This window comes from Homo sapiens, chromosome 14 (assembly GCF_000001405.40).
Source record: "Homo sapiens chromosome 14, GRCh38.p14 Primary Assembly".
In the NCBI taxonomy this organism is placed as follows: Eukaryota; Metazoa; Chordata; class Mammalia; order Primates; family Hominidae; genus Homo; species Homo sapiens.
In genome coordinates, this window is record NC_000014.9 from 100,317,834 (window position 1) to 100,345,695 (window position 27,862).

Sequence of the window (27,862 nt, forward strand, 5' to 3'; positions counted from 1 at the left end):
GTGAGAAAATGCCTATATTTCTCAGAGATTTTGGGAGGCTGACGCAGGTGGATCACCCGAAGTCAGGAGTTCAAAACCAGCCTGGCCAACATGGTGAAACCCCGTCTCCACTAAAAATACAAAAATTACCTGGGCGTGTTGGTGGGCGCCTGTAATCCCAGCTACTCAGGAGGCTGAGGCAGGAGAATCGCTTGAAACCGGAAGGCGGAGTTTGCAGTGAGCCCGAGATAGCACCACTGCACTCCCGCCTGGGCAACAGATCGAGACTCTGTCTCAAAAAAAAGAAAGAGGAAGATAAAGGAAAGGCTAGTGCTGGCCGGATCGCTGCAGGCGGGTCCTCAGGCTGGGTGGTGAGACTTTCACTTTCCATGCTGGCTCCATCAGTTCTGTGTGGGTTAAAAATAATCATAACCTGTAGTTATTCCTTTCGTTATAAAAATAAAAAGGTATTTTAGAATGTGTGGCCCGGCCAGCAGGGCCTGCAGGCCCCCTCCCGAAGCCCTCTGCGGCGCCCGGGTTGGTTGCTTGGGCAACGTCTGCCGCCCCCTAGGGGACAACGCAGCCTTCCCGCAAGGGCAGCCCGGGCCGCGCACAGCGTGGGCTCGGGCGCCGGTGGAGGAGGCCTGAAGGCAGCCTGGATCTCCTAGCAGTCACCCTGCCTGTCGGAGGGGCAGCCGGCTGGCTCCAGTGGACTCTCCCAGGCTCTGCCTCCTGCCGTCCGCAGAAGACCCCAGGTCCATCGCCTGCTGGAAAAATCAAGACCCCGAGAGGTCACGCCACCAGCCCAGGGTAGCACAGCCGGGAGAGGCAGAGCCCCGGGCCAGACCCTAGGCTGAGGGCTCCTCCCCTCGAACAGGCAGGAACGATGAGGCCTGGAAGGAGGCTGGACAGGGTACAAACAGCTTCATTCCTGTTCACTGTTCTTTTACTACTTTTTTTTTTTTCAATGAGACCCAGGCTGGAGTGCAGTGGCATGATCTCAGCTCACTGCAACCTCCGCCTCCTGGCTTCAAGCGATTCTCATGCCTCAGCCTCCTGAGTAGCTGAGATTACAGGCCCCCGCCACCACGCCCAGCTAATTTTTGTATTTTTAGTAGAGATGGGGTTTCACCATGTTGGCCAGCCTGGTCTCAAACTCCTGACCTTAGGTGATCCGCCCACCTCAGCCTCCCAAAGTGCTGTGGTTATAGGCGTGAGCCACCACCCTTGGCCCTTTTACTACTTTTTAAATTTTTTTAGATGGGGTCTCACTCGCCATGTTGCCCAGGCTGGAGTGCAGTGGCTATTCACAGGCATAATCCCACTACTGATTGGCACAGGAGTTTTGCCTTGCTCCATTTCCAGCCTGGGCGGGTTCACCCCTCCTTAAGCAACCTGGTGGTCTCCCACTCCTGGGAGGTCACTGTATGGATGCTGACTGTAGTGTATTGGACAATCAGCACAGTGCGCTACAGTCCAGAACTCCCGGGCTCAAGTCGTCCTCTCACCCCAGACTCCTGAATAGCTGGGACTACAGGCATGCGCCACCACACCCGGCTACTCCTTTTTATCACGGACTACGACAAAGGCCATATACTCATCATCTTTCTCCTTTTCTTCCTTTCTTTTTTTGCCAGACAATGTTAAAGTAAATTTCAGCCATCGTGCCATTTCACCAACCTGTACTTCTGTTTGTATCTCTAAGAAATATAGGCATTTTCTCACAGAACTTTGGTGCCATTATTGCACCTAACAAGAATAATAATGATTGTTTAAAGTCATCTAATGCCACTGGGTGCGGTGGCTCATTCCTGTAATTCCAGCACTTTGGGAGGCTGAGATGGGTGGGATCACTTGAGGTCAGGAGTTTGAGAGCAGCCTAGCCAACATGGTGAAACCCCATCTCTACCAAAAATACAACAAAATTAGCCGGGCATGGTGGCACGTGCCTGTAATCCCAGCTACTCAGGAGGCAACTCACTGCAACATCCACCTCCTTGGTTCAAGGAGAATTGCTTGAACCCAGGAGATGGAGGTTGCAGTGAGCCAAGATTGCACCACTGTACTCCAGCCTGAGCGACAGAGCGAGACTCCATCTAAAACAATAAAAATTAAAAATAAAAAAGCAAATAAAGTGATCTAATGCCATTGGCTATCTCCAGCTGAGGACACCCAGGAGGGCAGGGCCTCCAGGTGCACACCTTCAGGGAGGACAAGGTGCTCGGTGGAAAGGATGGATGGGGTGATGGGGGCTGGTGAGTGACATCCTTTTGAGGTCCCTTTGATCATTAGGGCCCAGCACAGTGTGGGTGCTGAGGGTGTGGACTGACTGACGGCCTGTCTCAGATTCTGCAACACTGTCTCACCCCTTTCTTGTGGGGCCCCTGCCATCCTTCCATCTGTCTTTCTGTCCATGCGTTCATCGCTCTACCCCTTCATCCATCCACTCGTCCCTCCATCTATCACCCACTCATCCATCCGTCTGTCCAGCCCTCCTCCCATCCATCCATTTGTCCACCTGCCCATCTCTCCCTCCTCCGTTTGTCTTCCATCCATCCATCTGTCTGCCCAGCCCTCCTCCATCCGTCCCTCCATCCCTCTGTCCATCCATCCATCCTTCCATCTGTTCACTGACTCATTTTCTCACATACTTATTTACGTGGTCTCCCCAGGGTGCCCACCTATTCTGGGTGCCATGGGTGTGGAGACAAACCCAGCACCACCCTGCCTGCCTGAAGCCCACAGCTGAGTGGGGAAATGTTTAGACCTGCACGAAGCAGCCTAAATGGTGGGGTGGCCTGTTTTCTATTTCTGCCTCAGAGAAGAGGGTCAAGTTAGGGCATGTTTGTTCAGGAGACAAAGGGCAGGTAAAACTTGGCTGCGATGACTGAGAACATGCTTGTCTCAAATGTCACCTTCTGGGGCCTCCCTAACACCTCCTGCAAGTCTCCCTCTCCCCGACACCTTATTTCTCTCCTGGCACTTGCCGCCATTGCGGGTACTCTGTATTTTGGCTATTCATCTGTTGGCTGGCTGTCCTCCTCCCTGAACATAATTATGGTCCACCAGGGCAAGGGCTTTTTTTTTTTGGGACACAGAGTCTCACTCTGTCTCCCAGGCTGGAGTGCAGTGGCCCAATCTCGGCTCACTGCAACCTCAGCCTCCCGGGTTCAAGCAATTCTCCTGCCTCAGCCTCCCAAGTAGCTGAGACTACAGGTGTCCACCACCACGCCTGGCTAATTTTTGTATTTTTAGTAGAGACGGGGTTTCACCATGTTGGCCAGGCTGGTCTTGAACTCCTGACCTTGTGATCTGCCCGTCTCAGCCTCCCAAAGTGCCAGGATTATGGGCGTGAGCCACCGTGCCCAGCCCAGGGCAAGGGCTTTTATCCGTTGTGTTTACTGATGTGTCCCCGTGCCTAAAACTCGACAGGCAGCCTTGGTTTCATGAGTAGAGGGCATGGGCGGGGCGGGCTGCGGTCCACGGGATGATGACGCGGCTGAGGCCGTGCAGATGGACAGTGGTGAAGGGAGCTGAACGTGAATTTAAGAGGTTGACACACAGGACTGGGGACTCTGGATGTGGGGTGGAGAGAGAGAGGTGTCCAGGGCAATTCCTGGGCTTCTGGCTCAGGTGCTATGGGTGGGTGGCACTTGCTGCATTGGATGCTCTACAGGAAACATGGATCTGAATGGTCCCTGTTCTTTCAGTTAGACACAGTGCTTCAAACTCCCTCAGCACCCAAGGTACTGGCTTCTTGAGTGCAGCATCAGCAATCAAACCCAAGTCTCAGCTGTATTTGCCCTGCCCAGAACAGGCCAGCCACCTCCTTCCTTCCAGACTCTATGCTTCTGTTAATGCAGCATTAGCATTTAGCTGGCCACTCTCACAGGGACACGCCCGGACTTTGCCCTGCGTGGTCGCAGATATGAGGCAGGTACTCTCTTCATTTCATGGATGCAGAAGCTGAGGCACAGAGTGGTCAAGGGGCTGGCCCACGGTCTCAGCTGTGAGTGGCAGAGCTGGGCTTTAAAGGCAGGCAGCCAGCTTCTAACCAGATGCTAAGCTTCATCCCCTTGAGGGCCAGGACTAGCATTGGGACTGGCCTTGGATGGGCCACTTCCCGCCCTTTGCCCTCTGCCGTGGCAGCTGGCACTGCTCATCCTGTGTCTCCCACTTGCCTATAAATAGCCGGGCTGGCAGGGGGGCTGTCCCTCCATCAGCTCTCAGCCTGCTCAAGGCCAGCCTGCAGGTCCAGCCATTAGAGGACAGGAAAACAGGTAGACAAAGAGCCTCCTGGCCTTGCCACCTGTCCCGAGGGCTGCCCAGATGGGCTGCCTGGGCCTCATGCATCAACACCTGCCCCTCCCCTATCCTGCTGGCATTCCAGTCTGTGGGGCACTCACTTAGATTCTGTTGCTCAGCAGCTGTGTGGCCGAGGTACCTGCACAGCCTCCCTGAGCCTTGGTGTCTCACGTGGAGATCTCACAAGGATGCAGTGCAGGTCACATGGGGCATGCACTGAGTCCCCTTGAGAGCCCTCTGGGGCCTCCCCAGGCGGGCCTGGATATCCCAGAGGGTGGGTTGTATGAGAGCATCTGGGGATCACATCCAGCCCTGCCGCCCTCGTGGCCTTGGACAAGCCCCCTTTCTGGGCCTCAATGGCCCCATCTGTGAAATGGGGAGCACTAACGCTGCGCTGTCTCCCTCCTGGGGCGGTGAGGAGGATCCTAGAGCCTGAGAGTGAGGGGAGCTTGGTGAACTGTAAGGTGGGGTGCACGGGCAAGGAGGTCCCTGTTTTTACAGTGCCCAGCAGACAGAAGTAGCGTCTTAGTGGAGAGGTTTCCCCTTCAGGAGGGCCCCAGCCGCTGGTTCAGAGGCTGAATCGGCAGCCTCTGTCCCTGGTTCATGTGGGCAGGGGGACTTGGTGGAGGCAGCCTTGGCCTTCGCCTCTGGGTCCAGGGAGACACATTCCCATGGAGCAGAGAGCAGGGAACCGGGGCAGCGGGAAGGGTGAGAGCAGATGGTGGGTGCTGTTCCTGGGTTCAGGCCTGTCCTTGCCACCCCCTCCCTCCCTGCCAACTGGAGCTCCTTGAGGACAGGGACTGGCTCTCATTTGCCTGGGTGTAGCATCAGCAAAGTAAGTGTTTTTTGAGTGAGTAAGAGAGGGAGCTTTGCAGGTTTCCCAGGCAGGGGTCCTGAGCAAATCCAGGGGAGTCGGGAAAGCCCAGGGGACACAGTGAAGGCCTGGGCTTGGACCTGGAGGGCGAGAGCTGTCACAGCCCCATCTCTGGACCTTCCCAGGAGGTGTTTGGATGTGATGGGGCAGTGCCCCTGCTCTCTGGTGCCTGTCACCTCCCGTGCTCTCTCCTGTGTTTTCCTGACACCTGGGTCCCGAGGGCACTGGGACAAGGGTCCCGGGGGCAGGGAGGGAGTCCAGCTGTGTGCCGCGTGGCCTCAGCAGGCTCTGCTTCCGGTCCCCTCCCCTGCCGCAGGTATTTAAGGTCTGAGAGGGGCCAGCTGGGAGCTGTTGAGGCCACCCTGGTGGCACCAAAGCCCTCTCAGGCAGGCAGACCCAGGGCCTCCCCGCCACACCTTGTTCATGGATTTTGTCGCTGGAGCCATCGGAGGTAACAGACAGGATGGTGGGCTGTGCAGACACTGCTGCTCCTGGGGGTAGCAGGAGGAACTGAGGTCCAGGAAGGTGCTGGGCAGCAGGGTGGGCTTTGAGGAGCCCCTCACCCCCCAGGATCTGCCAGGAGCAGAGAGCAGGTTCCTGGGAGGCTAAGGCTGGGTGAGGGGTGCTGCAGGGCCTGGGGGGCTGCACTGGCCTGGGAGGCTCAGACAGGAGGCTGAGGGCAGGCTGGGGATGGGGCTGTGGTCTAGGCATGGGGGCCGCTCGGGAGGCAGAGTCAGGGAGGCTGGGAGTCCTTGGTGTGGGGAGGGGTGATTGAGTCACTGGAAGGGAAAGAAGACCCCAGGAGAGGATCGAGAGGGTGGGGAGATGGGTAGGGAAGATGGGCCTGGTCCTGCAGCAGGGACTGGAAGGGGCGGGCAGAGGACGGTAAGGGGCCTGGCGAGGTGGCTCCACCTGCCCTGCTGGGTGTGTGCACCTGGCTAGGCCTCCAGAGCCTGCTTCTCAGGCCAGACTCTGCTGGAGAAACCGTTCTCCCTCCTGGGGAAGGGCTCCTGGTGAAAGACTGATTCAGGGAGATAACCAGGCCCTGGGACACGGGCTCAGCTCCATCCCGTGGGCTGTGGGGGCTGTTCTGAGTGGGCACTCCTGCCCTTGCTGGTCTTGTGAAACATCGGTGGGTGGCGTCAGTACTTCTGGAAACAGCATGGGGGTTGGGAGAGCGGCCCAGCTCTGGCCCTGGGAGAAGGCAGAGTACCTGCCCCATTAACAGGCTTTTTCTTTTTTTTTTCCCTTGAGATGGAGTCTTGTTCTGTCGCCTAGGCTGAAATGCACTGGCGTGATCTTGGCTCACTGCAACCTCTGCCTCCTGGGTTCAAGTGATTCTCCTGCCTCAGCCGCCCAAGTAGCTGGGATTACAGACATGCACCACAATGTCTGGCTAATTTTTGGGTTTTTAGTAGAGGCAGGGTTTTACCATGTTGGTCAGGCTGGTCTCAAACTCCTGACCTCAAGCGATCCGCACGCCTCAGCCTCCCAAAGTGCTGGGATTACAGGCGTGAGCCACTGCGCCCGGCCTCCATTAGCAGCCTTTCTCAGCCCCAGCTAGGTGCCAGCCTGGGGCCAGCCGCTCCCTTCCTCAGGGAAGCTACTGGACTTGCCTGACATCACACAGCTGGAAAGGGCTCCTGAGTCTGGCATCTTTCCTCCGGAGCCATGAGGAGGCCTAGGTAAAGGGCTCTCACTCTGTGCCTGGCCCTGGGTCATGGGGTGTCAGCCCTCGGCCGTGTCCTTGGAGAACTCCAGTTCTGGAGGTGGCGGTGGCATACAACAGCAAGGCCATATGACAAGGGCTCTGCTCAACATGTTCCAGGCACAGAGGCAGCCCAGAGTACAGAGGCCAGAGAGGGCTCCAGAGAGGAGGTAGTGTCGTGGCAGGGCTTTGATGGATGAGTAGGAGCCTGGTGAGGTGTGTGAGGTGTATGGGAGGGTTAAGAAGGGTCGTTCTCTCCAAGCCACTTGGTCTTTTGCCTTACATTTATTCACTTCATTCTTTCATCCCACATATTTACTGAGTCCTGGGCTACAGTGAATAGGGTACAGTCCCCATGTGCCTATTTTCTTCCATTGGCCTTTACCACCTCCCCTCAGGGGAGAGAATGGTCCTCCCAGGGACCACCCTGTTTCCCCTCTGACTTCCCTGTGGCAGTGCTGGGGCTTGGATGTTGAGGCCTGGCACCCGAGGCCTCTCTGCAAGGTGTGGACTCCCGGCCCTCTCTCTTCCACACACGCTTGTGGTTCCAGGCAGTCCTGGCTCTTCACGAACCCCGGTGTGGGCTTCGGCTTCCCTCCTCCTGGCCTTTGCCCAGGCTGTGCCTCCCCCTCCTTCCACCCACGCAGCCAAAACACAGTTACCGCCTGGCTCACAGGCAAACCCTCCATGGGCTGACGGCTTGAGGGCAAGGTCTGCCTGGCTCAGAGACAGGGCCCAGCTAGGGTAGGATCAAACGTTCTCTCAGAGCATGACGCCCGTGGGGAGGCCGGGGCATGTCGGCATGTCTTTGGCCCAAGGCAGCGAGGACGAGGCAGTCCCGGGCCAGGACTCAGGGAAGGGGAACTTGCTTGCAAAGGGTAGAAGACACTCGGAGGCTCAATTTCCTCATCTCTAAAACGGGGGTGCCCTCAGGATTGATGAGACCTGGTGCAGACCAGAAGGGCCAAATGTGGGTCTGCCCTTGGGGGAGCCCAGTCAGCGTGCGCTCTGCTTCTGCTTCCCTGCAATGGGGTTGAACTGCTCGCCGGCCCCACTCTCCTCACCGTGGGCCTCTTCTTTCCTTGCAGGCGTCTGCGGTGTTGCTGTGGGCTACCCCCTGGACACGGTGAAGGTGCGGCAATAGCCAGCCCCCCAACCATCCTAAGGCCCCTGCACCTGTCCACGGCCAGGAGACTTTTCTAGAATGCTAAACAGACCCACCCCTTTCCTACCCAAATGCCTTCAATGGCTCCCCATAGCCCCTGGGACTATGTCAGTCCCACTTTCTCACCCCTGTGCCCCAGGTTTCTCGTCTAACACAAGGCTCCCTGTCCCTGCTGTGCCACCGTCCAGCATGGCTGGGACAATCAAGAGTGTGACTCTGCCCCTTCCCCAGGGCCTGCTGGCCTTGCCCTAGGCCTGGAGCCGCTCGTGCCTGAAGCCCACTTCTCCTGCAGGTCAGGATCCAGACGGAGCCAAAGTACACAGGCATCTGGCACTGCGTCCGGGATACGTATCACCGAGAGCGCGTAGGTCTGGGGCCAGGGGCTGGGTAGGGAGACAGGGAGGGGATGCTGGGCCTGCCTCCGCTGCCCAGCAGGTGATGCCAGGCTCCCCGCTGGGTCTCAGCTCTCTCACCTTCCACATGGGAATAGTTCTGCCAATCTCATGGGTTCCTCTGAGGTCTGGAGCCAGGACATCTGGCAGCTAGAGGGGCCTCAGAAGGAGGTTCCCACCTCCAGCAGAGGGTCTAGAGGTAGCGTTCAGGTCTTTGAAAGTCGGAGGAGGGACCCATGCACTGCATTTCTGTCTCCTCCAGGCCAGGCACCCCTTGAAGGCAGTGTTGGGTGGAGTCTTTAGGGTCTAGCTCAGAGACCTGTCCGGAGCAGTACTTGGCGACATTCTCCTACGTGGACTTGGGGCTTGGTGCAGGCCAGGGGCTAGTTTGTGAAAGCAGCAGTGGCAGAACATGCTGTTACTAGTTCATTGTCAGGCCAGGAGCGGTGGCTTACGCCTGTAATCCCAGCACTTTGGGAGGCCGAAGCAGGCAGATCACCTGTGGTCAGGAGTTCAAGACAAGCCTTGCCAACATGGTGAAACCCCGTCTCTACTAAAAATACAAAAATTAGCTGGAGGTGGTGGCAGGCACCTGTAATCGCAGTGGCTCAGGAGGCTGAGGCAGGAGAATCGCTTGAACCTGGGATGCGGAGGTTGCAGTGAGTTAAGATCGTGCCACTGCACTCCAGCCTGGGCAAAAAAAAAAAGTTCATCGTCATCAAGCAGCTGGGCTGGGTTGGGCCTGGTCCTCTGGCTCTTCAGGTCCCCCCTTGTGACCTCCATCTTACAGCAGAGGAAACTGAGGCCCTGAGGCCGTGAATGACCTTCCCGAGGTCCGACAGCGGAGTGCGGAGCAGGGCTGAGTGTGGGCTCCCTCGGGTGGCTCCTCCTCCTGGCGGGGCCCTAGCCTGACCTGGATCCTGTCTGCTAGGTGTGGGGCTTCTACCGGGGCCTCTCGCTGCCCGTGTGCACGGTGTCCCTGGTATCTTCCGTGTCTTTTGGCACCTACCGCCACTGCCTGGCGCACATCTGCCGGCTCCGGTACGGCAACCCTGACGCCAAGCCCACCAAGGCCGACATCACGCTCTCGGGATGCGCCTCCGGCCTCGTCCGCGTGAGTAGGGGCAGCCAGGGTGGGGAAGGCCCAAGAGAGACTGCGGGGTCTGAGAGGTTATCCATCCTGGCAGGTGGGGAAACTGAGGCTTGATGAGGGCAGACACTGGAGGCCATGCATGGAGTCAGGGGCTGTGGGAGAAGAACTCGCATCCCGCCTAGGCTGGGCCTGGAACCCCTCAGCAGCACACAGATGAGGGGGTCGCTGCTGTCCTGCCCAGCACGGCCCCCTCAGGAAGGGGGCTGTGACCAAAGGGACTCTCCCTGTCACGGTCAGAAGGTCACCTAGAAGCCACCATGGGGAGCTGAATAGGCAGGCCCCGGGCACTCATGGCTCCAGGCACGGAGATGCCTGAACACAGTCGGCCATTGCTGGATGTGGGCATTTCTCCATCCTCAACTGTGCATGGAGCACCTGCGGTGCCCGCCTGCCCTCAGGGAGCCCTTGCTCCCGCAGGGGAGACAGACTTTCGCACTTGGTGACAGCACGGAGCCAGCTGGAGCAGCCCAGCAGCTGAAGGCCTGGCCCAGGGGTCCAGACCACCAGGCCCAGCTCTCAGCTCTGACCCTCATGAGCTGAGCAACCTTGGGCAAGCAAGGGAGACTCTTGGAGCTTCTGTCTCTCCATCTGTAAGAGGCATGATGAGAATTTAGTGAAATCATGAGGGTAAAGCCCCCAGCACACATATGTGGAGTCCGACATGAATGAGTACCCACAAAGTGGCAGCCAGTATGTCTAGTGATTTTTTTTTTTTTTTTTGAGACAGAGTCTTGCTCGGTTACCCAGGCCAGTGTTTAGTGGCACCATCTCCGCTCACTACAACCTCTACGTCCCAGGTTCAAGCAATTCTCCTGCCTCAGCCTCCTGAGTAGCTGGGACTACAGGCACGCGCCACCAAGCCCGGCTAATTTTTGTATTTTTAGTAGAGATGGGGTTTCACCCATATTGGCCAGGCTGGTCTCAAACTCCTGATCTCGTGATCCGCCTGCCTTGACCTCCCAAAGTGCTGGGATTACAGGCGTGAGCCGCTGCGCCTGGCCATGGTATTATTTTATTGCTGATATGTTACTAAATACGTTCTTGAACCTGGGTCATGGAAATTATCTTACACGTCCCAGGAGAAGCCTGGCAGGCTGGCCTGGGAGAGATGTGGCTGCCGAGGAAGCATGGGCTTTGGCATTGGGTGGGCGGAGCTGGCTTTGGGCCCCGTGGCCCCCCAGCCCTGGGCCAGCCTGCAGGGTCTCGGGGCCCAACCTCCTGAGGTCACCGTGAGCAACATGAGGCTGGTGGGAGGCCAGGTCCAGGCTGTGGGCAGAGCCACAGGTGGCTGACCCCTGCTTCCTTCTCTGCTCCAGGTGTTCCTGACGTCGCCCACTGAGGTGGCCAAAGTCCGCTTGCAGACGCAGACACAGGCGCAGAAGCAGCAGCGGCGGCTTTCGGCCTCGGGGCCGTTGGCTGTGCCCCCCATGTGTCCTGTGCCCCCAGCCTGCCCAGAGCCCAAGTACCGCGGGCCACTGCACTGCCTGGCCACGGTAGCCCGTGAGGAGGGGCTGTGCGGCCTCTACAAGGGCAGCTCGGCCCTGGTCTTACGGGACGGCCACTCCTTTGCCACCTACTTCCTTTCCTACGCGGTCCTCTGCGAGTGGCTCAGCCCCGCTGGCCACAGCCGGCCAGGTGAGCAGGGGCTGGAACCTGGCAGGGCGGGGAGCCCAGAAGGATGAGGAGGTCAAGGTGAGGTCGTGCTGCCCGCCAGTACCCGAGTGGGGGCTTGAACTTGGCCTCCTGCCTCCCAGAGTGGGCTCCTCAGTTCTCCCAACACCAAGAGTCAGGACAGACTTGCTGTGTCACAGAGTCAGTGTGTGGTTGTGGACAAGTCCCATTCCCCTCTCCCAAGCCTGTTGCAAATGAGGACGGGCCGGAAGCGTGAGTCCAGGGTGCGCTGCCCTGGGCGCCCCGATCAGGCTCCCAGTCAAGGCACTGTGGTCTCTCTGCAGATGTCCCGGGCGTGCTGGTGGCCGGGGGCTGTGCAGGAGTCCTGGCCTGGGCTGTGGCCACCCCCATGGACGTGATCAAGTCGAGACTGCAGGCAGACGGGCAGGGCCAGAGGCGCTACCGGGGTCTCCTGCACTGTATGGTGACCAGCGTTCGAGAGGAGGGACCCCGGGTCCTTTTCAAGGGGCTGGTACTCAATTGCTGCCGCGCCTTCCCTGTCAACATGGTGGTCTTCGTCGCCTATGAGGCAGTGCTGAGGCTCGCCCGGGGTCTGCTCACATAGCCGGTCCCCACGCCCAGCGGCCCACCCACCAGCAGCTGCTGGAGGTCGTAGTGGCTGGAGGAGGCAAGGGGTAGTGTGGCTGGGTTCGGGACCCCACAGGGCCATTGCCCAGGAGAATGAGGAGCCTCCCTGCAGTGTTGTCGGCCGAGGCCTGAGCTCGCCCTGCCCAGCTACTGACCTCAGGTCGAGGGGCCCGCCAGCCATCAGCCAGGGTTGGCCTAGGGTGGCAGGAGCCAGGGAGGAGTGGGCCTCTTTGATGAGAGCGTTGAGTTGCATGGAGTCGGTTGTTCATCCCAGCCTCCCCATGGCCCTCGCCTCCCATGTCTTTGAAGCACCCCTCCAGGGAGTCAGGTGTGTGCTCAGCCACCCTCTGCCCCATTCCTAGACCCTCACCCCCACCACTGTTCCTGTGTCTTCACGAGCTGTCCCTTACAGGCAGGGGCTTCCCACAGGCTGGGGGCCTCGGGGCGGGGAGCATGAGCTGGGCTGGCACCACGACTGAGGGCTCCCGGCTCGGCTTCTTCCCCACAGCAGGCTGCTCAGAGGGGGTGCTGCCGGGACTGCCATGCCCACCTGAGAGGGGCCTGGGGTGGCCGTCCTCGGCCGGTTAGGGAATTTGGGGTGAGGTTCCTCAGGAGCCCTCACTCTGCCTGTGGACGCTGCACCTGCCACTTAAAGACCCCAAAGACTCTGTTGGGAACTGTTGTCAATAAAATGTTTCTGAGGATGTTCAGGGCTGTGGCTCCATGGCCGTGGGCTGACTGTTCCCTGCCCCCAGCAGCTTTGCACCCTGTGAGGCCTGCCCACCCGTCCTGGGAGGTGTGGGGCTGTGGCCCTGTCCTGCTCCCTTCCTGCTGGATGAGCCCTCGAAACCTGAGCTGCTGGTGCTCCCACTGTGCAGATGGCCACACTGAAACCCCGCCTGGCACTCTGGCGGGCTCCACTCTCTCGGCCTTCTGGGCTGTGGGGCCTAGCCTATGGTGCTGAGTCCTGCCGCAGGGGGCTGTTTAGCAGGGTACTTACTGTCCTCACCACCCTATCCCAAACCCACCCGCTTTCTGAGCGAAAGCTGGTTCCAGCCAGGCCCTCCCACCTGCCCTGAATGTGAGCTCCCCTTCCAGAGGGGGCTGCCCGTGGGAGGGCGCCAGGTGCCTTGCACAGCTCACCACAGCCACCTGACAGCTCCAAGAGGGAGGGGGCCTTGCCTGCCGTCACGCATCAGGGAGGGGTGGGTGGACTGCAGCCAGTGCTTCTGAGGCTCCAGCACCCCCCCTCCTGGCATCATGTGGCTTCCAATGATGGGGGCTATCAGGGGCTAGGGCTGGCAGGTCCAGCGTGAAGCCACCGGGTCTCCACCACAGCAGCCCTCTGGCAGGGCCAGAGGCCACCTGCATTGACTATATTCACTCATGGACACTGACCTTGACTGTGTCTGTGGACTGAACGCTGTCCTGTGTTCTGCCGAACAAAATTCTTCTGCTCCCAGAGTAAGGGGTGGAACCCCTCTTGTTACGCCAGTCCCCATATGTGTGGTGCTGTGGGCACCTGACCTTATGCCCTGTGCCCTCTGCCAGGAATACCCTCCTACTGCTCTGCCTGGCTGGCTCCACACCCCAGGCGCCACCTCCTCCAGGAAGCTCTCCTTGCCTGACCACTGGGCTGCTCCCAAGCATCTCTTGCTCTGCTCCCTTGGGGACCTGGTTGGGTGTGTGGTCACTCATCTGCCTCTCCCCGGCCACAAGAGCCTGCGGGCTGTGCAAGGACTCCATCTAGCTCCAGGGCTGCTGCATAGTAGGGGGTGTGGGATGAATGAGCGAGTGAATGAATGAATGAATGAATGAATAAGTCCTGCAGTAGATTCCAGGAAGTGTGTCCAGCTTAGGAGTTGCAGAGGCTGAGATGTTGTGGCCGAATGCCGGGAAAGGGCAGGCGCTGACAGGTTTCCATGGCTCATCAAACACTGACCCCGGGACCGTTTTTGTCGAGAAGACCCCACCTGTTCGGCCTTGGCAGGAGGGTTCCTGGCAGCACTCCTGGCCCGGCTCTGGCAGTGGCTGCACTCTGGGAGGTGGGGGCCTTTGGCTCTCCCTGAGCCCGTGTCACTGAGCAGCTGGCTCTGCGTGTCACTGGGGAGGGGGTTTGCAGGAAAGGCCTCTGTCCTCACTGTTTTTTTTTTTTTTTTGAGACGGAGTCTCGCTCTGTCGCCCAGGCTGGAGTGCAGTGGCGCGATCTCGGCTTGGCTCACTGCAAGCTCTGTCTCCTGTGTTCACGCCATTCTCCTGTCTCAGCCTCCCGAGTAGCTGGGACTACGGGTGCCCACCACCACGCCTGGCTAATTTCTTTTTGTATTTTTAGTAGAGATGGGGTTTTACCGTGTTAGCCAGGATGGTCTCGATCTCCTGACCTCGTGATCTGCCCGCCTCAGCCTGGGATTACAGGTGTAAGCCACCGCGTCTGGCTGTCCTCACTGTCTTTACAACCTCTATGGTAATGACCAGAGAGTCCTGGGCCTCAAGGCCCAGCCAGTGTGACCCTGGGGAGGGCACATCTGCTGGTGCTGCAGGCGGGCACTGGGGGCCAGAGGCAGGCCTGTTGCTTGCCAAGTGCCGTCCTGGAGCAACGAGCTGTTCCACAGCCACCCGTGTGCTCAGCCACCCTCCTTCCTGTCCCTGCTTCCCCACCCAGTGCTGTTTTGTGTGCTTCTCAGGCACCATCTCCTTTCAGGCAGGCTCAGCTGGTCTCTCCTCCAGGCTGGGGGCCACGGGACAGAGAGACTGAGCTGGGTTGGCCCCACATCTGTCTGACAAGTGGACATTACCAGCCAGAGCAGGAGTGCTCTTCCGGCAGAGCCTCTGGCACCACGGTGGTGCAGGCACCCGGCCTCATGCCTCATCCCCAAACACTCATGGGGCCACTGCAACCTGTCCATCCTAATCCAGACACGCCCATGTCTTTCAGGGAACATTTCTCTCAGAAACCACTGGTTTTTAGCAAAACTGGGGAGGCTTGGGAGACATGTGGCTCCCCTGTGTCCTGACCAGCAGTGGCCTTGGGCAAGTCACCTGAGTATTGGACCCAGGGCACCCCTCCTAAGACCCTAAACAGGAGGCATCACTGCTTTTTACAGGGGAGGAGATGGAGGTCCTGGGAGGTTAAGTGACCTGGCCAGAGTCACACAGCCGGTGAGGGGAGAAGCTGGTTGGTGTTGGCTCACTCCTCCCTGGGGCCAGGGTCTCACCAGGGCCCTGCCAATAGATGCTGTGGCTGGGTGGACAATGACAGCAGCAGCTGTCACTGACTCCATTTGTCACCCCTCATTGCACTTGCGTCACAGGTGCAGTAGAGCGACGAGGAGTCATATTAGTTGCCCAAGGCAACAGGCTAGTGAGCTATGTGGCCTCTGTGGGTGGCTCACCCCCACTGGCCATAGCCAGCCAGGTGAGCAGGGGAGGGCAGGGGTGGGGCCCAGGCCAGCAGGAGTCGAGACCGGGAGAGGAAGCCTACTTGAGGTCATGGTGCACCCGGGTACCTGAGTGGGACTCGAGCCCAGGCCTCCAGCCTCCAGGGTGGGAACCGTAGTTCCCTCATTTGTAAAATGGTCCCTCTGTATGTGTGTGGAAAGCACCAAGAGTCAGGACAGACTCGCTGTATCAGAGTCACCCTATGGCCTTGGACAAGTCATGTTCTCCTCTCCTAAGCCTCAGTTTCCCTACTTGCAAAATAAGGATGGGCCGGTAGAATGAGCCCAGGGCTCCCTTGCAGCTCGGCCTCTGCCCTGGGCCTCATGTGAATGGGGCCCGACCTGGCTCCCAGCCTGTGCTCCCCGTCACTACACAGCACCACTAAGCACCCCACGGCCAGCCCCTCCTCTGAAAAGCGAGGACAACCTCTGCTTGCATTCTCCATCAGCTGCTGGAAATGAGAAATGTGGTGTGAGAGGGAGCCCGCACCAGGATGCTGCTAAGGGCTCTCCCAGCACAAGCCCATTCCTGGGAGCTGTGGCACAACACCATGGGGTTCCTGGGACTGTGCGCTTTCATCCCCAAATTTTGACTCCAGCAGACTCAAGGTCATCCACAGAAGGGTGAGGGGAGGGGTCTCTGCTCCCTCCTCAGACCTCCCAGACAGAGCACAATGACAAGAGCAGGAGCCAAGGAAGTTTATTTACTCTACTGGGTGACAGGAGGGCAGAGTGCTCCAGAGGAGACCCAGATACATCAACCAAGGACTTCCCTGAGATTTGGCTTTGCTCTTCCAGGCCTGCACATGCTGCGTGATGAAATGAGGCCTGCCTAGACATCTGTGAGGGCCTCGAGGGCTGCTGCCTCGACTTTCTCCCTAGCTAAGTCCACCCGTCCAGGGACACAGCCAGGGCACTGCTCTGTGCTGACTTCCACTGCAGCCAAGGGTCAAAATGAAGCATCTGCGGAGGCCAGGACTCCTTGGCATCGGACACAGTCAGGGGAAAAGCCACCCTGACTCTGCAGGACAGAGGGTCTAGGGTCATTTGGCAGGAGAACACTGGTGTGCCAAGGGAAGCGAGCATGATTTCTGGAGTGGACTACATGCATGGTCTGGAGTTCAGTAAACTGGAAAGTTTCACCCCCAAGTCTTAATTTAATCAAAATTGCTGAACTCTGTTCAATCTTCATTGTTAAAAGCAGCTTTAAAGCTGGGTGATTTCTTAGTCAAATGTATAACGAAGCTTTTACTTATCAATTTCTTTTTGGGAGGGGGCATGGGCTGAAATACATCTTGTGCTCAATAAACCTCCCCACATCAATATTTCAAAGCACTTTCTAGGTTACAATAATGACATTTCAATTCCATATACGCATACATAGAATATATATTTTTAAACAGAGTGGGTCTTAAGAGTATACTTGGAACCCTCGGAGTCCTCCATGGACAAGAACAGGGTGGCCCATGGACTTCCAGCCAAAGGCTCCACTGTGGGGCTGCTTTGGGGAGAGACTCACAGCTGGACTTCTCTATCCGACCATGCAATGTTAGCCAGCACCAATTACCCACAATGCTTTGCCCATAAGAGATAGAAATAATGGAACTCACAGGAAGAAACAGTATTGATAACATACACAGGCTTACAGAGGCCAGGCCCAGTAATTACCATGAGACAGAAGCCTACAGGTGGCGGTGCTTTGACTGGGCTGGGATTATTGATACATTACTGATACATCACTTCTTTTATAAGCATATGTAAAACGAGTGCTACTGAAAGTCGAAGGACAGCTTCCGGGGAGTCATGAACTCTTTCACTATCTCATCCGTGACCTCCTTGCGCCGGGCCTGGTGCTCTGCGATCAAGGGCTGCAGAACCTCTATGAGTGCCTTCTTGAGCTCACCGGTGAGCATGGCTCCGCTGGTGTAATCCTGCCCGGAGGGAGACAGCCACGTGAGAGATGGCTCCACATGTCCTGAGTGGCTCCTTCCTGCCTCGGGCACCAGCTCAGCCCACACCACCCATGCAGAGCCTGGCACGTGGGTGGCACTCAGAAGTGAGATCTGTTGTTACCACAACAATAACCTATACCTTCAGCTACACTTTTCCTAAAACGGCTAGAAACCTGGCTCTGACGATAGCCATGACTTGGCCTCTCACAGTGAAAGGGCCAATGGGGAGGGCAGTCCCCACCCCTACCGATGCTAGGGGCCATTCCCCCAGGCACTAAACAACAACAATTCCTGGCAGCCTTATGGCTTCTGTAAAATCTTGCTAATTTTTTTTTTTTTGAGATGGAGTCTCACTCTGTTGCCAGGTTGGAGTGCAGTGGCATGATCTCAGCTCACTGCAACCTCCGCCTCCCAGGTTCAAGTGATTCTCCTGCCTCAGCCTCCTGAGTAGCTGGGATTACAGGTGCCTGCCACCACGCCTGGCTAATTTTTGTATTTTTAGTAGAGATGGGATTTCACCATATTGGCCAGGCTGGTCTCGATCTCCTGACCTCGTGATCCACTCCCCCCACCTGCCTCGGCCTCCCAAAGTGCTAGGATTACAGGCGTGAGCCACTGCGCCCAGCCAAATCTTGCTAATTTTTTCTTTTTCTGATTGTACTGCATGCTCATTAAGCAAATTTAATAAAGTACCCAAACCACAAAGCAGCAGCAAAGTAAAGAAAAATCACCTACAAATTGCCCACCTGAAAAATGCCCAGAGGTGGGTCTCCCGCTAACATTTGGTAGATTTTCTTCACATTTCTTTCCCTGTGCATTTCATTTAAACATAGTTAACTCCTCCCTGAGTTTTCATTTGGTATCCTTTTTTCACTATCATAGGCATATTTTCCTGTGTCACTAAAACTTTTTTTTTTTTAAAAGAAATGAGGGTCTTGGCTGGACGCGGTGGTCACAGCTGTAATCCAAGCACTTTGGGAGGCCAAGGCGGGTGGATCACGAGGTCGGGAGGTCGAGACCATCTTGAATAAGACGGTAAAACCCTGTCTCTACTAAAAATACAAAAAAATTAGCCGGGCATGGTGGCGGGTGCCTGTAGTCCCAGCTACTCGGGAGGCTGAGGCAGGAGAATGGTGTGAACCCGGGAGGCAGAGCTTGCAGTGAGCCGAGATTGCGCCACTGCACTCCAGCCTGGGTGACAGAGCAGGACTCTGTCTCAAAAAAAAAAAAAAAAGAAAGAAATGAGGGTCTTGCTATGTCGCCCAGGCTGGATTTGAACTCCTGGGCTCAAGGGATCCTCCTGTCTCAGCTTCCCAAGTAGCAGGGGCTACAGATGTGTGCCACCATGCCCTGCATATGAACACTTAAAATAGTTCATGCCCGCATAATAATCCACCCTGTAACAATTCTAATTTAACGTTTCCTCTGTTGTACTGAGTCTGTGTTGAACTTTTTGCTATTATCATTTTTAACATCTTTGTGTGGAAAGCTTTCTCTTACTCAGGATTATTTCCTTGGAAAAAATCTAAGAATGAGAAAACCTGAGGAGAAGCTCTGAACATTTTTGGGCTCTTTGTACCCAGTACCAAACTGCTTCCTGAGGCTGTGCTGATAAACACTCTGCTCACTTGAGTGTGCCTTGAAGCATCTGCTTCATAATCACTGAAAATAGTCAATGGCAACACAAAAGCCCCTACTAATTCTATACTCAACTGTCTTAGCTTTGATCACGTTAACTTACATTTCTCTGATGACTAATAAAGCAAGACTGTTTTGGGTGGCTCCTAAATGAATAGTGATTTGTATCTGCTCTTTCGAGATTTGTTCATGAGGCTTCTGAGCCCAGGCCTAAAAACCATGAGGGCGAGTCTACTCAGTTTTCACCTTGTTTCAGTTGAGCACCTCCGACCAAGCCTTCATGCCTGGCTGTTGGAGCCTTCCAGGCCCCATGGGCAGGAGTGGGTGGCAGAAGGCGGCTGTGGGCCCTTGGGGTTCCCTGCTCACCTTCCTGATCTGCTCGAGCTTGTCGTCGTCCTCGAGGAAGAAGGTCAGGTACATGAAAGACACGTCCACATCACAGTTGCCCCCAAACTGCCTGTGCTCCTCGATGGTGTCTCTCCCTCCAGAAAACGCATGCTTATTGACCTGCACCAGAAGAGGACACAGACACGCTCCTCAGTCCTGCTCATCCTGTGCCTGGACACTGGCTAGAAGCCCAAGTGTGGAAGTCAGAGGTGTGAGTGCTGTCAGATTCTGGACCCGGGAAAGGCCAAGGCGCACAGCCGGTTGGGGGCGCACAGCCAGTGGGGGACCCACTGCTGTTCTTCCTGTGAGGCTTGGGTGTGAGCTACTGTGGGGCTCACTGCAGGAGAGGTGGGGGCAGATGAGCTTTGAACCCCCCATCCTCGGAGACACAGGAGAATAGAGTTGGGAAAGCCAAGGCACTGATTGAACTGAAACCTGGGACAGACAAGTTCCTCAGGTAACAAGCGTCAGAAAAAGGATGGGTAAGGCCAGACATGGTAGCTTGTGCCAGTAATCTCAGCATTTTGGGAGGCTGAGGGGGGAGGATCGATTGAGGCCAGGAGGTCAAGACCAGTCTGGGTAACTTAGTGAGCCCTCCTCTCTGCCAAAAAAAAAAAAAAAAAGGAATTAGCTGGTGTGGTGACGTGCGCCTGTAGTCCTAGCGACTCGGGAGGCTGAGGTGGAAGGATCGCTCAGACTCAGGAGTTTGAGGTTATAGTGGACTGTGATTGCATCACTGCACGCCAGCCTCGGCGACAGAGCAAGACCTTGTTTCTAAAATAATAAAAACTAAAAAAATAAATAAATAAAAGAAAAAGGATGAGTAAGTCATCCTCAGAGTAAGGGAGATGGCAGGAAGGGCAGCCTCTCTTAGGGATAGGTACTGCAGTGTTAATGGGGACAGGAAAGCAGTGGCCAGCCCCACACAGAAAGCATAACAAGAAGGCACAGGGTAAGGCAGTAAGGGAAGGCAAACCCACGAGAAGTGCTGTGCAGGGAGAGGGGCCTGCAGGCAGGTCTTCACTTACAAACAGGCAACACTGTCAGAGCTGAAAAACTCAGAAACACAATGACTTTTAGGAATTGTTAAAGATAATCACGGGGTAATTAAGGCTAATAAAAGCCAGAACAAATAGGTGAAACTCCTTCAACATTCTTTCAGTGAGCATCTGAGAAAATGTCACCCTAATTTTTTTTTTTTAGATAGGATCTCCAGTCTGTTGCCCAGGCTGGAGTGCAGTGGTGTGATCATGGCTCACTGCAGCCTTGACCTCCTGGTCTCAGGTTACCTTCCTGCCTCAGCCTCCTGAGTAGCTAGGAGTATAGGTGTGTGCCACCAGCCTGGCTAATTTTTTGGTATTTTTTGTAGAGACCAGGTTTTGTCGTGTAGTCCAGTCTGGTCTTGAACTCCTGGGCTCAAGTGATCTGCCTGCCTTGGCCTCCCGAAGTGCTGGGATTACAGGTGTGAGTCACTGTGCTCAGCCCCTTAACTTTTTTTTTTGTCACCATGCCCGGCTAATTTTGTATTTTTAGTAGAGACAGGGTTTCACCATGTTGGCCAGGCTGGTCTTGAACTCCCAACCTCAGGTGATTCGCCTGCCTTGGCCTCCCAAAGTGCTGGAACTGCAGGCATGAGCCACTGTGCCCAGTCTTAACTTTTTTTTAATGGGAAAAAAGGTGGGCAGAGTCAATAAATTCTAAGTTGTTATGTTTAGTAAGTTTCCTTAAAAGAATTCCAGAGCAGCCGGGTGCAGTGGCTCACACCTGTAATCCCAGCACTTTGGGAGGCCGAGGCAGGCAGATCACCGGAGGTAAGGAGTTTGAGACCAGCCTGACCAACATGAAGAAACCCCGTCTCTACTGAAACTACAAAATTAGCTGGGCGTGGTGTCATGTGCCTGTAATCCCAGCTATTTGGGAGGTTGAGGCAGGAGAATCGCTTGAACCCGGGAGGCGGAGGTTGTGGTGAGCCGAGATTGTGCCATTGCACTCCAGCCTGGGCAACAAGAGTGAAACTCCATCACACACACACACACACACATACACACACACACACACACACACAGAATTCTAGAGCAGAGTCCTAACTAGATAAGTTGGGATTGTGCAAAAGGAGCAGATGAGTGTTGGGGCAAAGGCGCCTGTCTCCATTTTGGCAGGGCATTGCTGAGAGGCTGGGCAGGGAAAGCAGCAGTCACGCGAGAGGCTCAGGCAAGGCCCATGCGAGGGGCTGGCGCAGTGGCTCACGCCTGTAATCCCAGCACTTTGGGAGGCCAAGGCGGGCAGATTACGAGGTCAGGAGATCAAGACCATCCTGGCTAACACGGTGAAACCCCGTCTCTACCAAAATACAAAAAATTAGCTGGGTGTGGTGGTGGGCGCCTGTAGGCCCAGCTACTCGGGAGCCTTGAGGCAGGAGAATGGCGTGAACCTGGGAGGCAGAGCTTGCAGTGAGCCGAGATTGTGCCACTGCACTCCAGCCTGGGCGACAGAGTGAGACTCCGTCTCAAAAAAAAAAAAAAAAAAAGGAAAAAAAAAGTTATAGAATGAAAAACTATGGAAAATACCAATAAACAGGAGGAAGAAAAAAACCACCTAGTAGTGGTGTCTCCTAGCATCTAAGTGCCTGATAGAGTCACTGCTATGTGGTGGCCATAGCCCTCCCTGCTGGGCCTTGGGGAAGAAGCTTCAGTGTCAGGAAGAAAGTCTGAGAACACAGGTCCTGGCTTCCAGGGGCAGTTTGAAGAGGATATTGAAAGGCCAGTTCCCAGAACTTTATCTGAGAGGAGAACAAGGAAACTGGTGTCTGCTGCATGTTTTTCAAGATGTGCTGGCGTCACCACCACCTGCACACTCCCCCTCCCCAGGCTTTTCCCACGGTAGGCACACAGCAGATGTGCCATCCGTGGAGGCTGTTAGGGTTATGACATGCATTTTATCCCCAACAACCCAATGACCTCTGTAGTGATGTCTCTATCTTACAGGTGAAGGAAATCAGGCCCAGAGTGTCAGGAACCTGCCATATGTGACAGGGATTGGCAGGACCAGGCTGGCTCCTGGGACACCAGGCTTCTGGGTGGAGCTCGAGAACTGAGGGGCTCAGTTCTGCCTCCTTGACGTGATCAGTCCTCAGTGATGCAGGAACCAGCCTACCAGGCCTGACTTACAGGAAAACAGATGGAGGGCTGACTTGGGGGTGGGTATGGAGCACTGCTGCCAGCAACTAAGATGATGGAAGTGGGTGACCAGTGTGACTCTGTGTGACAGGAAATGATGCCGAATGGACACAGCCAGCTAGGGTGGTAGTTGGAATAAAGTTAGATAACACAGGCTTACTGTGTGCAGGTGGCAGGTACTCACTCAGCAAAGCCACCTGAGTCGTCAGCACTGTGCTACTATTTTGATTTTTTTAATTTGAGAGATGGGGCCTCACTGTGCCACCCCAGCTGGGGTGCAGTGGCTATTCACAGGCACAATAGTAGCTCACTGCAGCCTTGAATCCCTGGGCTCAAGCCATCCTCCTGAGTAGCTGGGACTACAGGCACGTGCCACTGCCCTGCCTGAACCTGTTATTTTTAGGAGGCTGGAGCAGATGTGCCCTCTCTTTTCTAGTGTGGAGATTCTGATTTTGGAGCTGAAGTCGGGCACGGGGATTTAGAGTGAGGGCCTGGGCGGGCCCTGTTCTGCCCCACAAGAAGCCTGCAGGCCCAGTGACCGTCTGTAGGCCTCTGTTTTTCCTGACCTCATGCTAACTGCTCACCTCGAGGGCTCTACTGGTCCCTAAGTGAATGATAAATGTCCCAGATCCATAAACAAGTTTTTCTTTTTTCTTTTCTTTTTTTTTTTTTTTGAGCTGGAGTCTCACTCTGTTGCCCAGGCTGGAGAACAGTGGTGCGATCTCGGCTCACTGCAACCCCTGTCTTCCAGGGTCAAACAATTCTCCTGCCTCAGCCTCCCGAGTAGCTGGGATTATAGGTGCCTGCCACCAAGCCTGGTTAATTTTTGTATTTTTAGTAGAGACAGGAGTTTCACCATGTTGGCCACGCTGGTCTCGAACTCCTGACCTCAGGTGATCCACCTGCCTCGGCCTCTCAAAGTGCTGGAATTATAGGTGTGAGCTATCGCACCTGGCCATAAACAACTTTTTCCAAACAACTTCTCAGAAGCAAAATAAAACAGTGGACTTTTCCAATGGCGCTTCCCTCCCCACTCTGCACCCTGTGCTCCGGAAGTTTTGGCCAGAAGTGAAAGGGAAAGAAAAGTCTTCAATTATACCAGCTTCCAACTGAGTGGGGAGAGTTGGTGGAGGGCATGTCTTAGGAAGTTTTGATATGAAAGGCTTCCCCATTGTCAACCAGAACCTGCTTGGGACTTTCCAGAACGGTCAGGGGCAGTGACTCAGAGGGCATGTGACATGCCTCAAATACAGTTCCCAGCATTCCCACTGCAATCTTCTAGCCTGCAAACACACACTTGATTCCAAAGAAAATGTCAACTGCTTTGTGTAACAGTGAGGCAATTATATATACACTGGCTGTTGAGGAACCAGGCAACAGAACTGGGGCCATGCAAAATAAGGAAGCTCAAACTAACTTCTCCTTTTAGTTTCTCTAGTGATTTGTCAAATGTTTGCTGAATGCCTGCTGCATGCATCCCTCCTGGGGCCAGCAGGACTGTCCCGTGGATGGACGTTTCTCCGTTCTATGTCTCTCAGTGAGAACGCTCTCTGGGAGAAGACCAGCTCATAACCCCTGCTTGGTAATGGCTGCTCAGGGCCAGGAGAGCAGTGCTGCTGATTCCTGGTGGTGGAAACTTGGTCAAGTGGCTGGGCTTCTCTAAGCCTCATCATCTCATCTTTAAAGGGAATAGCACCACCACCTCCCAGTGAGAATGAAACATGAGAAAACATAAATAAGGCACCGGGTCCAGCCGCTGGAACACAGCTGATGATGAGAAATATACACAAATCTTTTCCATTATTTAATAACATCCACACTAATTATAACTTTAAGGAAATTGCCATGACTTTGCCTGCAGAACAGTGCTGATAAGAAAAGCAGAAAAGGAAAAAAAGAAAAAAAATTCAAAATTTTACCTAAATGAAAGGACACAAAACAAATTCACCTGATTCATGTGGGAAGGACAGGCTGCCTTGAGTTCTGCAGGGAGCAAAGTTGGCAATCCTGGAGTTCAGCATTGCTACGGTGGCTGGGTGGCTGAGGCCCAAAGCACTGCGCAGTGGTGTGTGTGTGCGTGTGCCCCCCAGGGCATGTTTCTGATCCCGCTGGCTGCCCTCTGCCTGGGCCACTGCTCACCTTGGTTTTGATCTGCTTGGCCGTGTCGGTGAGGAAGATGGAGGAGTTGGGGTCGCTGGCACTCATTTTGGTCTGGGCGCCCTGCAGGGCTGGGAAGAAGGTGGAGTGCAGCAGGGCTGGTTTAGGATAGCCGATCCTGGGGGCGACGTCCCTTGTCATTCTAAAGTAAGGATCCTGTGGGGAGAGTAAGGACCCTGATGAGGGCGGCCAGAAAACATGCCAGCTTTCAGCCATGAGCAGTCCCTGTGAGCATCTTCCCAGAAGGCTCTCATGCTTCCAACCAAAGAAATTCACTCCCTCCTCCCCTTCATCTTTTCCTTTTTTTTTTTTAAATTTTACTTCCAGTTCTGGGATACATGTACAGAACACGCAGGTTTGTTACATAGGTATACATGTGCCATGGTGGTTTGCTGCACCCATCAACCCGTCATCTAGGTTTTAAGCCCCGCATGCATTAGGTATTTGTCCTAATGCTCTCCCTCCCCTTGCCCCACTCCCCAACTTTCTTTCCTTTTTTTTGAGACAGAGCCTTGCTCTGTCGCCCAGGCTAGAGTGCAGTGATGCGCTCTCGCTGCAACCTCTGCCTCTGGGGTTCAAGCGAGGCGAGTAGCTGGGATTACAGGCGCCTGCCACCACATGTGGCTAAATTTTGTATTTTTAGTAGAGACGGGGTTTCGCCATGTTGGCCAGGCTGGTCTTGAACTCCTGGCCTCAAGTGATCCGCCTGCCTTGGCCTCCCAGAGTGCTGGTATTACAGGCGTGAGCCACCCTGCCTGGCTGCCCATCATATCTTTCAATACCTCTCCCCGCTGAAGAGTAAGAGGAACCTGCTGTCAATGCCCCAGACTTAGAGAGCCTTGCTTTTCTGCCTGCTGACCTGGTCAATGGCACATGGGATAAGGCACTGGATATCCGTCCTGTCTCGGAAGATCTGTGGGAATGAGTTGCTGAAGGAGGGAGCAGCCTGGATGGCAGGAAAACTGATCTTCCCTGAAAATGAGAAAAAGTATTTTTACACGTGAGATGAGTTCCTGTTCTGCTTAGTTAATAAAGGAATGAACAAAAACAGGTTTTCTCCCATTATAAAACAATCATTAAAATAAATCTAAAAAATACAGAAAAGTAGAAAGAACAAGCTGTACAGTTGCAATGTGTCTGATTTCATCCATTTTCTTTATATATTTTACTCTATGCATTTTTGTTGTGATTACACTATATTTGGTCTTTCCTTGGCTTTTTCTTTTCCTTTTTTTTTTCTCAGAAGGAGTCTCGCTTTGTTGCCAGGCTGGAGTGTGGTGGCTCGATCTCAGCTCACCGCTACCTCTGCCTCCTGGGGTTCAAGTGATTCTCCTGCCTCAGGCTCCCGAGTAGCTGGGACTACAGGTGCGTACCACACCCAGCTGATTTTTGTATTTTTAGTAGAGATGAGGTTTCATCATGTTGGCCAGCATGGTCTCAATCTCTTGACCTCGTGATCTGCCCACCTCGGCCTCCCAAAGTGCTGGGATTACAGGCGTGAGCCACGGCGCCCGGCCTTCCTTGCCTTTTTCATTGTAATGACTATCCATGTTGTTACTAAGTATATTCTATCCTGTCAATGTATCATATCATTTAACCATTCTCTAGCCACCTTCCACCTTTAATTATCAGAAGTTATGATGGCTTCCCTCTTCCCTCTTCCCTCTCCCCACGGTCTCCCTCTCCCTCTCTTTCCACGGTCTCCCTCTGATGCGGAGCCAAAGCTGGACTGTACTGCTGCCATCTCGGCTCACTGCAACCTCCCTGCCTCATTCTCCTGCCTCAGCCTGCCGAGTGCCTGCAATTGCAGGCGCGCGCCGCCACGCCTGACTGGTTTTCGGATTTTTTTGGTGGAGACGGGGTTTCGCTGTGTTGGCCGGGCTGGTCTCCAGCTCCTAACCGCGAGTGATCAGCCAGCCTCGGCCTCCTGAGGTGCCGGGATTGCAGACGGAGTCTGGTTCACTTAGTGCTCAATGGTGCCCAGGCTGGAGTGCAGTGGTGTGATCTCGGCTCGCTACAACCTCCACCTCCCAGCCGCCTGCCTTGGCCTCCCAAAGTGCCGAGATTGCAGCCTCTGCATGGCCGCCACCCCGTCTGGGAAGTGAGGAGCGTCTCTGCCTGGCCGCCCATCGTCTGGGACGTAAGGAGCCCCTCTGCCTGGCTGCCCAGTCTGGAAAGTGAGGAGCGTCTCTGCCCGGCCGCCATCCCATCTAGGAAGTGAGGAGCGCCTCTTCCCGGCCGCCATCCCATCTAGGAAGTGAGGAGTGTCTCTGCCCGGCCGCCCATCGTCTGAGATGTGGGGAGCGCCTCTGCCCCGCCGCCCCGTCTGGGATGTGAGGAGCGCCTCTACCCGGCCGCGACCCCATCCGGGAGGTGAGGAGCGTCTCTGCCCGGCCGCCCTGTCTGAGAAGTGAGGAGACCCTCCGCCCGGCAACCGCCCGCCTGAGAAGTGAGGAGCCCCTCCACCCGGCAGCCACCCCGTCTGGGAAGTGAGGAGCGTCTCCGCCCAGCAGCCACCCCGTCCTGGAGGGAGGTGGGGGGTCAGCCCCCCGCCCGGCCAGCCGCCCCGTCCGGGAGGGAAGTGGGGGGGTCAGCCCCCCGCCCGGCCAGCCGCCCCGTCCGGGAGGGAGGTGGCGGGGTCAGCCCCCCGCCCGGCCAGCCGCCCCGTCCGGGAGGTGAGGGGCGCCTCTGCCCGGCCGCCCCTACTGGGAAGTGAGGAGCCCCTCTGCCCGGCCACCACCCCGTCTGGGAGGTGTACCCAACAGCTCATTGAGAACGGGCCATGATGACAATGGCAGTTTTGTGGAATAGAAAGGCGGGAAAGGTGGGGAAAAGATTGAGAAATCGGATGGTTGCCGTGTCTGTGTAGAAAGAGGTAGACATGGGAGACTTTTCATTTTGCTCTGTACTAAGAAAAATTCTTATCCTGTTGATCTGTGACCTTACCCCCAACCCTGTGCTCTCTGAAACATGTGCTGAGTCTACTCAGGGTTAAATGGATTAAGGGCGGTGCAAGATGTGCTTTGTTAAACAGATGCTTGAAGGCAGCATGCTCGTTAAGAGTCATCACCACTCCCTAATCTCAAGTACCCAGGGACACAAACACTGCGGAAGGCCGCAGGGTCCTCTGCCTAGGAAAACCAGAGACCTTTGTTCACTTGTTTATCTGCTGACCTTCCCTCCACTATTGTCCTGTGACCCTGCCAAATCCCCCTCTGCGAGAAACACCCAAGAATGATCAATAAAAATAAATAAATAAATTAAAAAAAAAAAGAAGTTA

At 55.5% G+C, this 27,862-nt stretch overlaps 2 protein-coding genes and 1 pseudogene across 18 annotated transcripts in view, besides 4 other annotated features; 1 reads left to right on the plus strand and 2 right to left on the minus strand.

Moving 5' to 3' along the window:
- Positions 115-661: an enhancer, noted in NCBI's record as "H3K27ac-H3K4me1 hESC enhancer chr14:100784285-100784831 (GRCh37/hg19 assembly coordinates)". NCBI's record gives its function as "activates a minimal SCP1, AML or CMV promoter by ChIP-STARR-seq in naive H9 embryonic stem cells {active_cell/tissue: H9 hESC(naive)}" and the evidence as "EXISTENCE:reporter gene assay evidence [ECO:0000049][PMID:30033119]".
- Positions 197-446: an enhancer, noted in NCBI's record as "active region_9036". NCBI's record gives its function as "activates an Ori minimal core promoter by ATAC-STARR-seq in GM12878 lymphoblastoid cells {active_cell/tissue: GM12878}" and the evidence as "EXISTENCE:reporter gene assay evidence [ECO:0000049][PMID:35858748]".
- Positions 647-846: an enhancer, noted in NCBI's record as "active region_9037". NCBI's record gives its function as "activates an Ori minimal core promoter by ATAC-STARR-seq in GM12878 lymphoblastoid cells {active_cell/tissue: GM12878}" and the evidence as "EXISTENCE:reporter gene assay evidence [ECO:0000049][PMID:35858748]".
- RN7SL523P (RNA, 7SL, cytoplasmic 523, pseudogene) lies at positions 1,238-1,537 on the minus strand (annotated as a pseudogene).
- SLC25A47 (solute carrier family 25 member 47) lies at positions 5,506-12,588 on the plus strand. Of its 2 annotated transcripts, none has more exons than NM_001350877.2 (6): positions 5,506-5,609; positions 7,955-7,998; positions 8,263-8,395; positions 9,355-9,537; positions 10,893-11,211; positions 11,532-12,588. In NM_001350877.2, the coding sequence occupies exons 5-6, from the start codon at positions 11,004-11,006 to the stop codon at positions 11,810-11,812; spliced, it is 489 nt and encodes a 162-aa protein (NP_001337806.1). In that variant the 5' UTR covers positions 5,506-5,609; positions 7,955-7,998; positions 8,263-8,395; positions 9,355-9,537; positions 10,893-11,003; the 3' UTR covers positions 11,813-12,588. The 2 variants fall into 2 exon arrangements, with proteins under 2 accessions (NP_001337806.1, NP_997000.2); NM_207117.4 differs by having other exon boundaries at positions 8,324-8,395.
- Positions 15,114-15,163: an enhancer, noted in NCBI's record as "active region_9038". NCBI's record gives its function as "activates an Ori minimal core promoter by ATAC-STARR-seq in GM12878 lymphoblastoid cells {active_cell/tissue: GM12878}" and the evidence as "EXISTENCE:reporter gene assay evidence [ECO:0000049][PMID:35858748]".
- WARS1 (tryptophanyl-tRNA synthetase 1) overlaps positions 15,957-27,862 on the minus strand; it is a 42,538-nt gene continuing 30,632 nt past the window's right edge. For all 16 annotated transcript variants that reach the window (NM_213645.2, NM_173701.2, XM_024449707.2 and 13 more), the window contains 4 exons: positions 25,442-25,554; positions 24,565-24,738; positions 19,229-19,369; positions 15,957-17,203 (listed from right to left, as the gene is read on the minus strand). In NM_213645.2, coding sequence (NP_998810.1) covers positions 17,042-17,203; positions 19,229-19,369; positions 24,565-24,738; positions 25,442-25,554 — 590 coding nt within the window. In that variant the 3' untranslated portion in view covers positions 15,957-17,041. The remainder of the gene's footprint in view (positions 17,204-19,228; positions 19,370-24,564; positions 24,739-25,441; positions 25,555-27,862) is intronic.